Source organism: Homo sapiens, chromosome 17, assembly GCF_000001405.40.
Source record: "Homo sapiens chromosome 17, GRCh38.p14 Primary Assembly".
In the NCBI taxonomy this organism is placed as follows: Eukaryota; Metazoa; Chordata; class Mammalia; order Primates; family Hominidae; genus Homo; species Homo sapiens.
The window spans coordinates 45,420,947-45,435,802 of record NC_000017.11 but is presented as its reverse complement, the minus strand read 5'-3'; the positions used below and the strand labels follow the sequence as shown (position 1 = coordinate 45,435,802).

The following is a 14,856-nucleotide window of genomic DNA, read 5'->3' as shown; positions in this document are numbered from 1 at the left end:
CCTGGCACGGGGGAAGGCTTGGGAGGTCCGTGGCAAACACTTGTAGGCAGAGGGCTTGCATGCCAGGAGTGGGCAGGGAGAAGAGAGTAAGAAAACCACCTTGCCAAGCCCAGCAGTCAGGCTCTTCCTGGGGTAGGATCTCAGGGTCTCTGGGGAGGTGTACCCACACTTGTATAACAACTCAAGCTGATCCCACGCCGGTGGCTTCTTTTCCTGTGACTTAAATGTCAAAACACAGACCCTTGACACTGGATCATGTGAAACCTCAGGATACAGGGGACATTTCTCAGAGGAGAAATAAAGGAGAGATGGGGCTCAGGAAAGAAGGGTTATTTAAGTGGATCCCCCGATTCAGGGCTCATGGTTTTAGGGCTCAAAATGACTTTTACTTGGCTGCTGACCTTCCTCAGAAGTTCCAGGAGAAGCCCAGGGGACCCCTCCAAGGGGAGGCCCACACCACTGTCCATTTTAAGAACAGGAGCAGGAAACAGACTTAATTCTCAGGGAAATCAGGTTGCAGTAAAATGGGATGGAAACAGACAACATTCAGGTCTGAGATTTCCTGTCCTTAAAGGCCCCTTTCAGATTACAAGGTGGCACCCTCTGCCAATCTAGGTGCCCCAGCTTCCCCCAAGGGCTTCACCTCCCTCCAGGACAGTAGATGGTAGGCCCGGAGAAGAGAAGAGAAACTGGGAGAGGGAGGCCCAGAGGAGGGCCACAGCACGTGACCTGGTGCTGCCCTGCCGGTGGGTTCAGGCCCTCTCCAGCCTCAGCAAAGCGCCCCTGAGGCCACTTGTTTCCCCTTCTCCCCTCCCTTTTTTTTTTTTTTTTTTTTGGATACAGTCTCACTCCAATGCCCAGGCTGGAGTGCAGTGGCGTGATCTTGGCTCACTGCAACCTCCACTTCCCGGGTTCAAGCAATTCTCCTGCCTCAGCCTCCTGAGTAGCTGAGACTTCCCCTTTTCCTCTTCTCTCTGAAGGAGGACAGGTGGTTTGGAGATTCCAATCCAACCCCCAAGAGCTTATCATATAATGTAAGTAGTCATAATAGCTGATGTACCCCGGCATGGTGGCTCACACCTGTAATCCCAGCATTTTGGGAGGCCGAGGAGGTTGGATCATCTGAGGTCAGAAGTTCAAGACCAGCCTGGCCAACATGGTGAAACCCCGTCTCTACAAAAATACAAAAATTAACTGGGCATGATGGCGGGTGCCTGTAATCCCAGCTACTCAGGAAGCTGAGGCAGGAGAACCACTTGAACCCGGAGGCGGAGGTTGCAGTGAGCCAAGATCGTGCCGCTGCACTTCGGCCTGGGAGACAGAGTGAGACTCTGTCTTAAAAAAAATAGCTGATATATTGTGTGCGCTGGGCATGTGGTAAGCACTGCTTAGTGGACCTCATTTAATCTTCCCAATAATCCAGTGAAGTGGGTGTTACTATCCCATTGACAGGAAAGAAATCTGAGCTGCAGAGATAAGGCAGAACTCCCAAGGCCTACCAGCCGCCAAGCAGCAGAGTGGGGCATCATACCTGCCTGACCCCACGCAAAGACCATCACCACTGCCAGCCACTGCCTGGCTGTGCTGCAGGTGGAGAGGGACCTAAAAGGTAGGGAGGGAGAGAAGATTCCTCCAGCCACGATTTTCTTTTTTTCTTTTTTGGTTGTTGTTTTTTGAGACGGAGTCTTGCTCTGTCGCCCAGGCTGAAGTGCAGTGGCACGATCATGGCTCACGGCAGTCTCCGCCTCCCAGGTTCACACCATTCTCCTGCCTCAGCCTCCGGAGTAGCTGGGACTACAGGCTCCCGCCACCACGCCCGGCTAATGTTTTATATTTTTAGTAGAGACGGGGTTTCACCGTGTTAGCCGGGGTTTCACCGTGTTAGCCAGGGTTTCTCAATCTCCTGACCTCATGATCCGCCCGCCTCGGCCTCCCAAAGTGCTGGGATTATAGGCGTGAGCCACCGTGCCCGGCACCAGCCACTATTTTCTAAGCATGTCGGGCACCAAAGACCAGTGCTGAGTTCTGCTGTGTGCCCACCCTGGAGGGTCCCAAGGTGCCACCAAGGCTCAGACACACAGATTCTCAGAGGAAGTGTGGACTCACAGGTGGGCAATGCCTAGCAGAGGCAAAGATATAGAGGTAAGGGAGTTCCTTACTTACTATATCTTACAAAGATATAGAGGTAAGGGAGTTCCTTACTTACTATATCTTACAAAGATATAGAGGTAAGGGAGTTCCTCTGAATCTGGGTGGCCAGATTCAGCTTCCCACCCAACCCTGGGTCCCCAGGAGGTGGTGTCAAGAGAGGCCATGGCCTGGGATGCGGGCCCTTCTTCCTCCCAGAACACTGGCCTGAATCAGCCAGCTCTTGGCACACACAGCCAGGTCCACAGGCACAACTGTTCCTTGGGGCCCCTGAGGGCAGGGGGTGTGCTGGGGCTGTGGCTTGTAATGTCTGGAGTGAGTGCAGGCTCAGATCAGGGCGAGGCTGCTTGTCCAGAGAGGCAGAAAATTCTCCAACAGAAGACCCCCAAGGCGGAGGGCCCTGGGGCTGGACTCCTGGAGGTTGTTCTGAGCTTACCCTGTGGACGGATTGGAGGGTGGCCCTCCTTCCCCACAAGGATCAAGAGGGGGTGGGGGATGGTGGGAGGGCAATCTGGCCAGGCGAACCTGCGGGGGAGGCTCCCGCCCTCCCCAGTCCCACCATCTCAGCCCCGCAGCCTCTTTCTCCCTGGAGACAGCCAGGTGCGGCCCAGGATCCCGGGAAAGGCAGGGGAGGGGGTGGCGTCTTCGCTCCTCAGGCGCTGGCCCGGCCCAGAGGGGACAGGAAGCCAGGACACCGGGGATTGTCTCTCGCAACCGCAGCCCAGCCCCAGTCCGGGAGGAAGTTCTGCCCGGCGCTCTCCGCCGGTGCCTCCCTGGTTATATTGTTGAACAGGAAACCCGGCAGCGCGGGAGCCGCACAGTCGAGGAGGGAGCGCGGGACGCCGAGCCCACGCGCGCCTGCCGGGGCAAGTGGAGGCGAAGCCGGCGAGCGGACGCCCCGAGGTGCCCGGGCAGGCAGGGTCGGGAGTGGGGCGCCGAGCGGGGGTTGGGGGTGGGAAGTGGGGTGGGGGTGGGGAAAGGGCAGGGTTGGGAAGGGAAGGGTGCGGCAGGTGGCGGGTCCGCACCCGGGAGCTCCGCGCGCCTGCTCCCCTTGTCTCCGCGCTGGGGCGGGAGCTGCGCGGGCCGCATCCCACGGGGAGGAGAAGGTAGGCGAAGGGCTGCCCTCCATCTGGGGGCTGGAGGGAAGCAGGCCCAGGCCCCCAGCGCCGACCCAGGCGTTGACGCCCCTGTAGCTTGAGTCGCCTGGGCAGTGGACGCAGGGGACCTCCTGGCGACTGGTGCGCTGTCGCGCTCCAGGGATCCTCCCGGCTTCCCCAATCCCTCCCCTTCTCTGCGTTTCCCCAGGGTCGGGGAAGGAACCGAGGTCCGGTCCCCTTCTTATCCAGCCCGAGACATCGAGCTCCGGTGGGCGTCCCTGCGCTGGGAATCCCGCTCGGAGTTTTTCCAGGCCCGGCCGGGCTGCTCCGGGAAAGGCCCTGGTGAGGGAAGAGGTGGGCCCGGAGCGGGCGGATTTGCAATCCGGTTGGAAGGGCTCGCAGTGGGTGATTCAGGGTGCAAATGACCTCCCCGGGAACAGGAACGCCCGCACGAGACAACCAGCCCCAGCCCGGCATTCCCAGAGCCGCGCACAGGAGGGACGCAGGCACTCCCGGACAGCAAATCCCGGGGGGTGGGGGGTGGGGGGGCGGGGAATAGAGGGGGAAGGCGGAGCGGGGGCGGTCCCATCCTCCTTGGGCTCCGCTCGCGACCTGCCAGTGCCCCTTCAGACGCAGCAGTCCCGGCTCCAGGTGCCGGCCTTCTGCTCTGGGCCTCGTCCCAATGCCCCCCAAGGTCCCCAGCAGAGGCATTCAGGCTCCTCCTCGCCCCACCCAGACACGGCTGCTTTGGGTATCGGTGACAGCACTCCTGAGCGTCCCTGTCCCTCTTCGCTCTGCTTGCCAGCTCCTGTTCCGCGCAGCCTCTCCGGCCTCGCCCCTGGAAACCCCGCCCAGGGCGATGGTAGGGGCCTAACCTGCAGCCACCGCCGGCTCCGCCCACCCAGCCCATGGGCTCCCTGAGGCCCGCCCAGCCGACGTGAGTGCGCTGCGGGGTCCAAGGGGAGGGGGCGCCGGGGGAGTGTCCTGCTTGGGGTTTGTTGGTTCAGCACCGGGCAGCTCGATGACCCCGCCTCCGGGGCCCAGCGTGCTTAGTGACTCAGTTTACACCCTTTCCTCGTCGAGGAACGCTTGACAAAGTGGCGGAGGAGCCCTGCTGGGGCCCCCGTTGGAACCTGCTCCTCTGCCTCGGCAAGCGGCGGTCTCCTGGCCCCGGGTCCGGGCCACCTTAGGGGGCAGGAAGAGGTGTGGTCAGTGTGGGAGTTTGGAGGGGCCATGCACTTCCGGAGAAAACCGACTCATGGCTTTGGTGGAGGGGCGCAGACAGATTTAGTTAGGCTCTCCCCCATCCCTGACACCCCGAAGCCCGGGCGGGAGCGGGGCTTATGACCACCACTCCGGAGAGCTTTGGGTGGCCCTGCTCTGGGACTCCGCACTTATAGTCACTGTCTCAGAGTGCATTCTCCAGGAGCCACTCGTGGGGACACTGTAGGGGTCACAGGGCAGGTGGACAGGCCACAGGGGCAGGGCCTTTCTCGGGGGGCGGCGTGAGAGCTGGAGAGCAGGGGGCGGTGCGGGCCGGGCTGGGCGGGCCGGGCTCGGGCTCACGTCTGCGGTGATGCAGCTGGGGAAGGAAAGAGAAACCGAGAGAACCGGTTCCCCTGCATTGGCAGCGGAGGCCTCTACAGCAAGGCCCTCGGACTAAGGGGGGCAGCGACAGCCCCCAGGTAGAGCTGTTCGCTCGGCCCCCTACAGAGCCCACATTCCAACTCTGACCAGGGGGTCGGGGCGCAAGCTGCTGGAGGGAGGCAGTGCTACGAGACCCTCTGCTGATTCTCTGCGGGCGGGAGGCTTCCAGGCGGGACAGAGCCGGGGAGCGGCAGTAAATGGGGTGTTCTTCCTACTTGACTGACGGAAAACTAAGGCGCAGTCAACTATTAAGCAAGCGTGGTGTCGACCTTAGAGCGGGCAATCACCCCTCGTTTTAAAGCCAAGGCTTCCCTCGCAGTCGATTTGGACCAAGACTACCCACAATCTCCCCACCGCAGGACTGAAGCAAGGGTCAAATCTTAGAATCAACCCCACAGAACGAAGGGCTGTCCTAATTCCAGCACTGAGTGTAAGAATGGAAGCCTTACATGTGATTTTATGCAAGTTCCCATTTTAGAGATGGGAAAACTGAGGCCCGAAGGCGAACGGCGAGTGCAGGATCGGGACTCGAACCCAAGTCTGTCCCCGAGTGCGGGGCTATTCCAGGCTCGGTGGTCTTGACCTCCGCGGCCCTCCTTCTTGTTGCCCGCAGGAAAACGCCGCGGCTGCGATGGCGGCGGACGTGGTGGGGGACGTGTACGTGCTGGTGGAGCACCCCTTCGAGTACACCGGCAAGGACGGGCGCCGCGTGGCCATCCGGCCGAATGAGCGCTACCGGCTGCTGCGGCGCAGCACCGAGCACTGGTGGCACGTGCGGCGTGAGCCCGGCGGCCGCCCCTTCTACCTGCCTGCGCAGTACGTGCGCGAGCTGCCCGCGCTGGGCAACCCTGCCGCCGCCGCGCCGCCAGGTCCCCACCCGAGCCCCGCGGCCCCTGAGCCGCTCGCCTACGACTACCGGTTTGTGAGCGCGGCGGCGACCGCGGGCCCCGACGGCGCCCCCGAGGAGTCCGGAGGCCGAGCCAGCTCCCTGTGCGGCCCTGCGCAACGCGGCGCCGCGACCCAGCGCAGCAGCCTGGCGCCCGGCCTGCCAGCCTGCCTGTACCTGCGGCCCGCGGCGCCCGTGCGGCCCGCGCAGTCCCTGAACGACCTGGCCTGCGCCGCCGTCTCGCCTCCCGCCGGCCTCCTAGGAAGCAGCGGCAGCTTCAAGGCCTGCAGCGTGGCGGGCTCCTGGGTGTGCCCGCGGCCTCTGGCGCGCAGCGACTCAGAGAACGTCTACGAGGTCATCCAGGACTTGCACGTCCCGCCGCCGGAGGAGAGCGCAGAGCAGGTACCTCCCCGGGCGCTGGGGCGCGGAGGCGGGTGGCGCGCTAGGGACCGCGCCCGCACGGAGCCGGGGCGCAAGGAGACCCGCTCCGCTCAGCGTCGGGCACGACGCCCACCTCTGTCCGAAGACTTCGGATGAGCTCCCTCTCCCCAACCGCGAAACGTGAGGGGTGCACGCCCGCAGTCCCTCATCAGCAATTCCCAAGCTCCAAAGCTCCCTGGAAGCCCAGAGGCTTTTCGTAATCCAATTGGTGGCAAAATTGCGCTTGAACTGATGTGAGGCTGCTGATGGTCTTTATTTATCGCACTTGTGTGAATATTCATGTTTCGCTGCAGAAATGCAAATGAGCTCGATGGTCGGCTGCTGCCCCAAGCCCTGCTGGGAGGTTATATAACCTACTGCAGGTGTGTGCCCCATATTATCTTTCCAAGTCCCAGCTGTTCTGTATTCCGAAGCGCATCTGGGCACGGAACGGGGGATTGCGGGCCTGCCCCGGCCCAACCGACTTGCCCGTCTCCCAGGAGTCTGGGGTCAGATGAGAGGGTGGATGTGAAAGTCAGGCGTCTGCTTCCCTTTGAGGGTGCTTCCAGCATTTCAGTTCCTTTTTTTAAAGAACTCTTGATGGGTTTGTTTCAGAAAGACGTCCGGTTAAGTGAGGTTGTTTTTTTCCCCCTCTTCAGAGTCCAGTTGTGTTCATCTGGGAAATCGAAAATAGAGCACGTTTTAAAAACAGGTCTTACATCCTCAGAACACTCTAGGCGACCCTGACATTTTGAACTTTAGGAACTTTTCAGAGAGGGGCAGCCCGAGGGGAAAAAAAGATGCTCAGAACCGTTCTGCCATCTGCCACCGGCCGTGTGATGATCTAGGGGCAGTTCTTTTCCTCTCTTAGGGTCTCGGTTTGTTCTTTAGCCCAAAGGGAGGGGTTGGACAGATGACCTCTGATCCTCGGGAGCCTCTGATTTCTTTCGCTGTACCTGATGTCATTACCATGAACACTGATGCCCACTATGTGCCAGGACTGAGTCCGGGATGCCCAGACGAAGGAGACACGCCTCCGTAGGCCCGCTGCTGGGTGTTCCCTCCGCCCGACTCGTTACAATGCAGAGCTCAGGTTTTGAGACTAGGGAAAGGGGAACTGGATTCTGCTGGGTCACCTGCCAGCTGCTGACAGCCACTTAACTTACACGCGAGGACGTTCCCCCAGGCCCAGCGTCCTCTGGTGTAAGCACAATACTTAAGGATTAGGGTTGTGAGCCTTAAACGAGGTAAGGCTTCGAAGCGCTTGACAGCAGCAGGGGGTCCACCCAGGCTGTCTGGGTAGTCCTGGTTTGGCTTCCCTGGGTCTCCGCCGCCTTCACTCAGGCTTCTGCAGCGGTAGCCCGCCGCCTTGTGGCCAGGGTGGGGAACGGCACCCGGCGGGCGGGGCTGGGCACTGCCACTCTGTCCTAGTGACGGTGGGAGGGTGCCTGCCCATCTGAGCAGAGCCCCTGGAGGTGGGGGAATGGCCTTGCTCTTTGAACCTCGCATCTGGCCCAGGGTCTGGCTCAAACAGAGTGCACAGAGAGTGTGTGTTGAGAAGCGCAGAGGTGCGGCAGCCCTTTACCTATGAGCCAGGGCTCTGTAGGTCTGCAAGGGCCAACACCCCAGGCCCCAGGACCAAAGAGGAAGGAGACTGCCCAGGTCCTGACATCTCCTGAGAAGACAGATCACCCCGGCTGCCAGGGCGCCTGCCAGGTGGCCCCTCTGCCCATCCTTCCTCCAGCTCCCAGCAGGTTCCCAGTTGCAGTGGCATATGGAGGGAGGGGCACCGATGATAGGGGTAGGGGACTTACCCAGGGGGGGAATCTAGGACATTGGCCAGAGACAGGCAGCTCTCTGGCCCCACTTGTGACCTCCACAAGTCGCTTTGCATCTCTGGTCCTGTTTCCTCCCCTGTGCGATGTGTGCAATAATACCACGTTCCCTGCCACAGAGCTTTATTCAAGAGGCAGCTGTGGGTCTCCCTGGTGCTCCACCCCCAACAAAGTCCAGGGTAGGGAGTTGGCCCTGCCCCCGCAAGGGAACCCCATCCCTGCTCTTAGTTGTCCCAGGCAGAGTTTCCCCACCATGATCCTCCAGGCCCATTCACTCCTTCATTAGGCATCAACTAGCTGAATACCTGCCAAGCCCTGGTGAGCCTTCGGATCTGGAGAGGACTGAGGCACAGCCACGATCCTGGGGGACTCACCCTCTTGGATAGGAGGCCAGCAAGAGAAGACATGGGGCCGGGGCTCAGAGTGGAGCATAGGGTTGAGAGTGGGTGCCCACCCGGGCAGGGCCTCGTGGGCCCTTGCCAGGAATGTGCACATTATCCTGCAGCCGCTGTGAGGCTTTTAGCAGAGACAGGAATGGGATTGAGAAAAAAATCCCTGTGGCCAGGGCTTCAAGAATGGCTGAAGCTCTTGGTGGTCTCGTGGGCATGTGTGGAAACAGAGGTTTGGGAGATGGATGGGCAGGGTCTGGGGGCCGAGGGAGGTGGGAGGGAAATCAGGTTGAGTTCTAGATTCCCAGCTGGCACTCGTGGGCAGACAGTGGTGCTGCTTCCTGACGGGGGGATGACTTGGGGAGGAGCAGAGTGGAAAAAAGATGGGGCCCACCTGGATTTAGGTGCCAAAGGGAAGAGAAGCATGAGAGTGCTGGCTCAGAGGCCAAGAAGTGTCCAGAAGAAGGACGCACAGGAAGGTCATGTGAGAGAAAGGCCGTATAACACTTACCCTAAGTGACCACTAGACGCTCAGCTGGTCAGGGGGCTGCTGAAGGCAGAGGGCAGTGGTCAGTAGTGAAGTGAGGGTGCGAATTGAGTGTGTGGACAACGGGCAGAAGGAGAGAGACACAGTGTGGCCAGAGGGGGTGTAGGGTCATGGATGGAACCGTCCCCAGGCTCAGGTGGGTGGGCAGGAGATGGGGAGGCTAAAGATGGGGAGAAGGTTGTTGCTGAGAAGGGATCTCAGAAGAAAGTGGGTGCAGAACAGAGGGGGCAGGATGTGGGGATGGCATGGCACGGGGGCACTGGGGAGTGTGTGGGGATGCCCTTCTGTCAGGCAGCAGCTCAGGGCTTAGGGCAGGCTACCAGACAGGGCCAGGGACCCCCAGAACAGAGGAGCTCCTGCCATGGATGGTGTTTTACAGCCTTGTCACTCCCCATGCACTCTAATCGCGCATATTGAGCACTTGGGGTGGGCTGGTCACTGTGCTGGACACTGGGGACAAAGTGTGGTAAGATGCAGTCCCAAAGGGGCTAACAGTCCTGTGGGCTCTTGCTGAAAGGCTTGTAACCCAGGGTTAAGCTCCCAGCAGCTTGGAAGGCAGGCGTAGGCACCTCCATTTGCCCTGAGTACAAACAGAGGTTCAGAGAGGTTTAGTGACACGACGAAGCTCACACGGCCAGGAAGTGGCTGTGTTCAGGACAGTTCCAGGCCCCCTGACCCCAAGCCCCACCCTGGCCAGCAGGTTCAGTTTCAGCCTGGTGGCCTTTAGGGTTGGCCACCCTGTTCCCCTCAACAAGAACAGTACAAGCTGAAGGCAGGCACATGCTCCTTCTTCTGAGCGTCCTGCGTGCCCAGCCCTGTTGTGGAAGAGTTGATGTCCCAGGAGGGACATCTCCTGTTCTTTTGCTGCCCAGGAGAGGGCAGAAGCAAACCCTTCTGAGAGGGGATAGAGGGAGACGGGGGAGGTAAGCAGGGATGACTCCTCCTCTCCCACAAAGAGGCCACTCAGGGAGCTCTGGGAAGCCAGGCCAAAGCCAGTGCAATAAAGGGGCCTCTGAGACTCTTCCCTTGGTCCTGACTCTGGGATTTCAGGGTGCGGTCACCATCCCCGCCCAGAGGTGGGAAGGCCCAGGCAGGTGGAGCTGGCCTGGAGCCCGCCCCTGCTGCTGGGGCATTGGCCGCTGGGAGGGAAGTTCCAGCCGGGCTGCTGCACCTTCTTATACAAGCAGCCCCGGAGGCGCCGCACATGAGCAGGCAGCCCCGACTGGAAGGAGCCCGGGGCCCTCATTCCTTCTCCTCCACTGGGAACTGAGTGAGTCCTCGCCCCTGGGGGACTAGGGGGTGGCCACAGCAGTTTCCCCAATCTCTCCCCTCCCTTTCCCGAATCCTAAAACCCATCTGGGGGCCCCTCCCCTCTGGATCCAGGCCCAGCACCCACTTCCTAGGACAAACTCCAAGGGCAGCCCGAGGCCACTGTGACTGAGAGAAAGGAACTGGCCTTGGGACAGACCCTCCTGTCCCCCTTCGGGGCCAGCTAGGGGGACTTTGGCAAGGGGTGTTGGTAACAGCAGGAAGCTGAGGCCAAGTTGAAGGGACTCTAGCTAGCCCCTTGCTCGTACTCCCTCCTCCGGCACCCCCCACCCCCAACCCCCAGGTGGGGCAGCCACCCTGGGGTGGCCCTGCTGGTTTCTTTACACCTGACCCAGTTCCCTCCCGGTGACTCACCTGCAGCCCCAGGCTGTCCCAGGAGCCCCTCTGCCTGCCTAGGACCTGACTTAGGAGACAGCAGCTTCTTGGATCTCCCTCCCACCCTCACCCCACATTGCTGTCCACCCAGAGATCTCCCTGCCCACCCCCCGCACCCCCTGGCTCTCCTGCAGGCCCCATGATCTCTTCAGGTCTCGCTGGAGCCTGTGCCTGGCTCTCACCTCTTAGTCCTTGGCTCCCTTCAGCGCCCAGGGGCCTGCGATGGGCCCCAGGACAAGCCCACCTGCCCCCTCACTTTCTTCCCAGGCCTCAGCAGTTGACCTCACTCTAGACCTGTTTTTTGTAATGTTTATTTCAATGGTTTTGCGGAGCAGGTGGTGTTTGGTTACGTGAATAAGTTCTTTAGTGGCTATTTCTGAGATTTTGGTGCACCCGTCACCCGACTGGTGTGCACTGTACCCAATGTGTAGTCTTTTATCCCTCACCCCCCTCCCACCCTTCCCCCACTCCCAAGTCCCCAAAATCCATTATATCATTCTTAGGCCTTTGCATCCTCATAGCTTAGCTCCCATAGACCTGTTTTCTCTGCCCTTCCTAGAGCTGACTGCGTCCAGTACAGGGAGGGGTGGGCATCAGTACTGAATGCCAGCCTGGATGGGTGGTCAGTGCCAGGCCCTGGGGAATGGGAAAGTCCATGATCGTGACCAGGGCGTAGCTGATGATCAGGGATGTGGTCGAGTCTCCATGCCTGAATGTTAGGGAGATTGGGAGCTGGATCTGTGCCGGGGAGTGAGAGGTCAGTGGCTGTTGGTTCATATTGAAGGGGAAACAGGGCTGCCAGGACTAGGGCTCTGGGGCACAGGCACAGAGGTGCTCTTGCTAAAATTTGGGAAGCTCTGTTTCCAGATTGCAGAAGGATTCTGGTGTTGAGGGAACTTCCAGAACTGTTGCCTGAGCCGGGTGAGGCCTGCAGGACCCTTCTGTCCAGCTGAGGCTGCTGTGGGTGCCCACCCTGCCTCCTTGCCCTCTCCTGGCTGGGGGTCCCCTGTGAGGCATGAAAGGAGGGGGGCAGGGGCCCCTGCCCAGGCCTCCATGTCTGTCTAGGGACTGGGCCAGAGAGAGGAAGCAGAGGTAGCAGAAGGGCCTGCCTGCAGAATCATCCCAGCCTCCCCCTTCCTTTCTCCTCCTTGGCCCAGTTAAATGTGTAAATTACTATTCCCTCCCTATAAAAATAGCTTAACTCCATTACAAATATTTGAATAATAGGAGGAAATCTCAATCGAATGACTGTGAGCATGTTGGTTTCTTCCCATTTATTCTGCCTTCTTATGCGTATCTCTTGGGCAGTTCCCGTAGAGACATCACAGTGTAATGACGATTGTGCCTTCTGCTTTTTCATTTACCATATTCACCTAGTCAGTGAATGTCAGCCGCTGTACTGGGGGCTAGGGAGCAATGAAAAATAAAGGATGGTTCCTGCCCTCAGGTAGCTTACTGTCCAGGAGAAATTGAACAGCAGATCCAGTTATGATATTGTATGGCATGGCAGTTATGGTATGGAAGATATGATATGATATGATATGTCTGCAGAGAGCTGTTGGGGGCATGTTGGAGGAGCTGCCCTCCCAGAATCTTGTTGGCAAGAGGGAAATCCAGGAGTGCTTCCTGGAGGAGGAAGGTGTTGGCAGAGTTGAATTCGAAAGGTTTCTACAGTTCCCGCTCATGAAACCCTCTGGACCGGGTGCCTTTTTCAGTGGCAGATTTTTTTTCTCATCAATGGTAATTAGTTTATTTAAGTTTCTACTCACCTTCTAGTTAATTTTGGCCATTTTATATTTTACTAGGAAAGCATTCATTTTCTCCAGATGTGTAAACTCTCCACTTTTAAAATTTATTATGAATTTCTTTGTGACCAAGTAAATGATTTTGCTAAGTTTTTCACAGACACATAAGAAAAATGCGTATTTTCTTTTTTTATTTTTATTTTAATTTTATTTTTTTGAGATGTCGCCCAGGCTGGAGTGCAGTGGCGTGGTCTCGGCTCACCGCAACCTCCACCTCCTGGGTTCAAGTGATTCTCCTGCCTCAGCCTCCTGAGTAGCTGGGATTACAGGTGTGCGCCACCACACCGGGCTAATTTTTGTATTTTTAGTACAGAGGTGATTTTGCCATGTTGGCCAGGCTGGTCTGCAACTCCTGACCTCAAGTGATCCACCCACCTCAGCCTCCCAAAGTGCTGGGATTACAGGTGTGAGCCACCACGCCTGGCCGGAAAAATGCATATTTTCTATTTAAGGGATATAAGGTACTATCTGCATCAAATCATGTTTATTGATTGTATTATTCAAACTTTCATTTCCTTTGTATCCTTTGCTTGGGGGCAGGGGTCTTTTACTCTAATTCTGATAGAGATGTGTTATGTTAAACCTTCCTCTCACATTTTCTCTATAAAGCTCTTCTGGGGCTTTTCCTAGTTTTTGCTTTTTATATTTAACTACGACGCTGTCAGGAGGATGCAGATTTCGAGCGTTCTTTCGTTACAAATTGTGCTTTTCTATCATTACGTGGTGTCCCTCTTTATCCTATTCTAGTGCTTAACCTTAAATTTCACCCTTCTATTGTTTATATGACCACTCCTTATTTTACTTTATCTTTTTTTTGTACTTGCTTAGCATTCTTTTATTTCCTACTATTATCATTTTTTGAAACTACTAATTTCTTGTATATGTCACATCACTGTTTTGTTTTGTTTGAGATAGGGTCTCCCTCTGTTGCCCAGGTTGGAGTGCAGTGGTGTGATCATGGCTCTCTGCAGCCTCAGCCTCCCTGGCTGAGGCAATTCTCCTGCCTCAGCACCTTGAGAACGTGGGACCACATGGCCCACGTGCCACCATGCCCAGCTAATTTTTTTTTTTTTTGGTATTTTTTGTAGTGATGGGGTTTCTTCGTGTTGCCCGCCACCACTGTATTTTTATTATTTTCATGGATTTTTGTTTGTTTTTTGAGATGGAGTCTCGCTGTGTCACTCAGGCTGGTGTGCAGTGGTGCGATCTTGGCTCACTGCAACCTCCGCCTGCCAGATTCAACTGATTCTCCTGCCCCAACCTCCTGATTAACTGGGATTACAGGCACACGCCACCACATCCAACTAATTTTTGTATTTTTAGTAGAGATAGGGTTTCACCACATTGGTCAGGCTGGTCTCAAACTCCTGACCTCAAGTGATCCACCTGCCTCACCCTCCCAAAGTGCTGGGATTACAGGTATGAGGCACTGCACCCAGCCTATCACTGTATTTTTAAACCCAAGCTGACTCTTTGTCTTTTAGTGGGAGAATTCAATCTGTTCACATTTCATTTAACAATTGATCTACTGTACTTGATTTGATTACCTTTGGCTTATTTTACATTTATTGGTTTATCTTGCAGTTTTTTTCCCTCTGATCTGGTTATCGATTTCCTTTTTCTTCCTGTTACACTTTCCATTTCATTATTGGCAGCTGTCCCTTCTCTGGGGTTCCTAATCAAACACATATTCTTTAGCACATGCCTCGATGGGGATTCTTTTCTCAGCACCCTCATTTGGAGCTTACAGAACCTGTCACTCTGTAGACTCCGGTCTTTTCTCAGCTTAGGAACATCTATTTGTTGCTTGATTTGATTATTGTTTCTTTATTTTTTATTTTTTTGAGACAGGGTCTACTGTGCCACCCAGGCTGGAGTGCTATGGCACGATCACGGCTCACTGCAGCCTCGACCTCCTGGGTTCAAGTGATCCTCCCACCTCAGTCTCCTGAGAAGCTGGGAATACAGGCGCACGCCACCGTGCCCAGCTAATTTTGTTTGTATTTTATGGAGAGACAAGGTTTCACCTTGTTGCCCAGGCTGGTCTTAAATTTCTGGGCTCAAGCAATCTGCCTGCCTTGGCCTCCCAAAGTTCTGGGATTACAGGCATGAGCCACTGCGCCCGGACTGTTGCTCGATTATTGTTTCTTTTACCTTTTCTTTCCTTTGCATGTGAGCGCTCCCAACTGGGTCCCCCCCAGTTTATCTTTGGTCTCTTTATTTCATTCTTGTTGTACTTTTGCTCTGAGGTTTGATGTTTCTTCTTGACCTTCCAGGCTGCAAATTTGAATCTCAAGAGTGAATTTCTTCTCCTTCAACTAGTACAATGACATATTTTAAGTTCTAAAAATCAGTCTTTTTTTTTTTTTTTTTTGAGA

At 56.8% G+C, this 14,856-nt stretch overlaps 2 protein-coding genes and 1 long non-coding RNA gene across 39 annotated transcripts in view, besides 5 other annotated features; 2 read left to right on the top strand and 1 right to left on the bottom strand.

Annotated features, from left to right (window-relative positions):
- Window positions 1–1,594, top strand: part of PLEKHM1 (pleckstrin homology and RUN domain containing M1) — a 56,513-nt gene extending 54,919 nt beyond the window's left edge. The window contains exon 13 of the mRNA XM_047437188.1: window positions 1,453–1,594. The gene's annotated coding sequence lies outside the window, so the exon portion shown is untranslated. The remainder of the gene's footprint in view (window positions 1–1,452) is intronic.
- The window catches only part of ARHGAP27 (Rho GTPase activating protein 27), a 38,963-nt gene continuing 27,039 nt past the window's right edge, over window positions 2,933–14,856 (top strand). For 16 of the 37 annotated variants that reach the window (NR_169601.1, XR_934416.3, XR_001752447.2 and 13 more), the window contains exons 1-4: window positions 2,933–3,051; window positions 3,454–3,587; window positions 4,051–4,182; window positions 5,506–6,180. Coding sequence is in view for 12 of the 37 variants with exons in the window: in XM_047435547.1 (XP_047291503.1) it covers window positions 5,524–6,180 (657 nt within the window). In the remaining 25 variants the exon portion in view is untranslated. Of the gene's footprint in view, window positions 3,052–3,453; window positions 3,588–3,873; window positions 4,183–4,285; window positions 4,449–5,505; window positions 6,452–10,169; window positions 10,240–14,856 lie in introns of those variants that run through there. The other 21 variants (NR_169605.1, NR_169602.1, NR_169606.1 and 18 more) reach the window with 5 other exon arrangements.
- Window positions 5,148–5,648: an enhancer, noted in NCBI's record as "H3K4me1 hESC enhancer chr17:43507521-43508021 (GRCh37/hg19 assembly coordinates)". NCBI's record gives its function as "activates a minimal SCP1, AML or CMV promoter by ChIP-STARR-seq in naive H9 embryonic stem cells {active_cell/tissue: H9 hESC(naive)}" and the evidence as "EXISTENCE:reporter gene assay evidence [ECO:0000049][PMID:30033119]".
- Window positions 5,649–6,149: an enhancer, noted in NCBI's record as "H3K4me1 hESC enhancer chr17:43507020-43507520 (GRCh37/hg19 assembly coordinates)". NCBI's record gives its function as "activates a minimal SCP1, AML or CMV promoter by ChIP-STARR-seq in naive H9 embryonic stem cells {active_cell/tissue: H9 hESC(naive)}" and the evidence as "EXISTENCE:reporter gene assay evidence [ECO:0000049][PMID:30033119]".
- On the bottom strand, window positions 6,454–7,240 carry LOC124904016 (uncharacterized). The gene is made up of 2 exons (XR_007065825.1): window positions 7,155–7,240; window positions 6,454–6,874 (listed from the first exon to the last, which is right to left on the bottom strand). It is a non-coding gene; the product is annotated as an uncharacterized LOC124904016 (long non-coding RNA).
- Window positions 9,761–10,331: an enhancer, noted in NCBI's record as "H3K27ac-H3K4me1 hESC enhancer chr17:43502838-43503408 (GRCh37/hg19 assembly coordinates)". NCBI's record gives its function as "activates a minimal SCP1, AML or CMV promoter by ChIP-STARR-seq in naive and primed H9 embryonic stem cells {active_cell/tissue: H9 hESC(naive and primed)}" and the evidence as "EXISTENCE:reporter gene assay evidence [ECO:0000049][PMID:30033119]".
- Window positions 11,076–11,580: an enhancer, noted in NCBI's record as "H3K27ac-H3K4me1 hESC enhancer chr17:43501589-43502093 (GRCh37/hg19 assembly coordinates)". NCBI's record gives its function as "activates a minimal SCP1, AML or CMV promoter by ChIP-STARR-seq in primed H9 embryonic stem cells {active_cell/tissue: H9 hESC(primed)}" and the evidence as "EXISTENCE:reporter gene assay evidence [ECO:0000049][PMID:30033119]".
- Window positions 11,581–12,087: an enhancer, noted in NCBI's record as "H3K27ac-H3K4me1 hESC enhancer chr17:43501082-43501588 (GRCh37/hg19 assembly coordinates)". NCBI's record gives its function as "activates a minimal SCP1, AML or CMV promoter by ChIP-STARR-seq in primed H9 embryonic stem cells {active_cell/tissue: H9 hESC(primed)}" and the evidence as "EXISTENCE:reporter gene assay evidence [ECO:0000049][PMID:30033119]".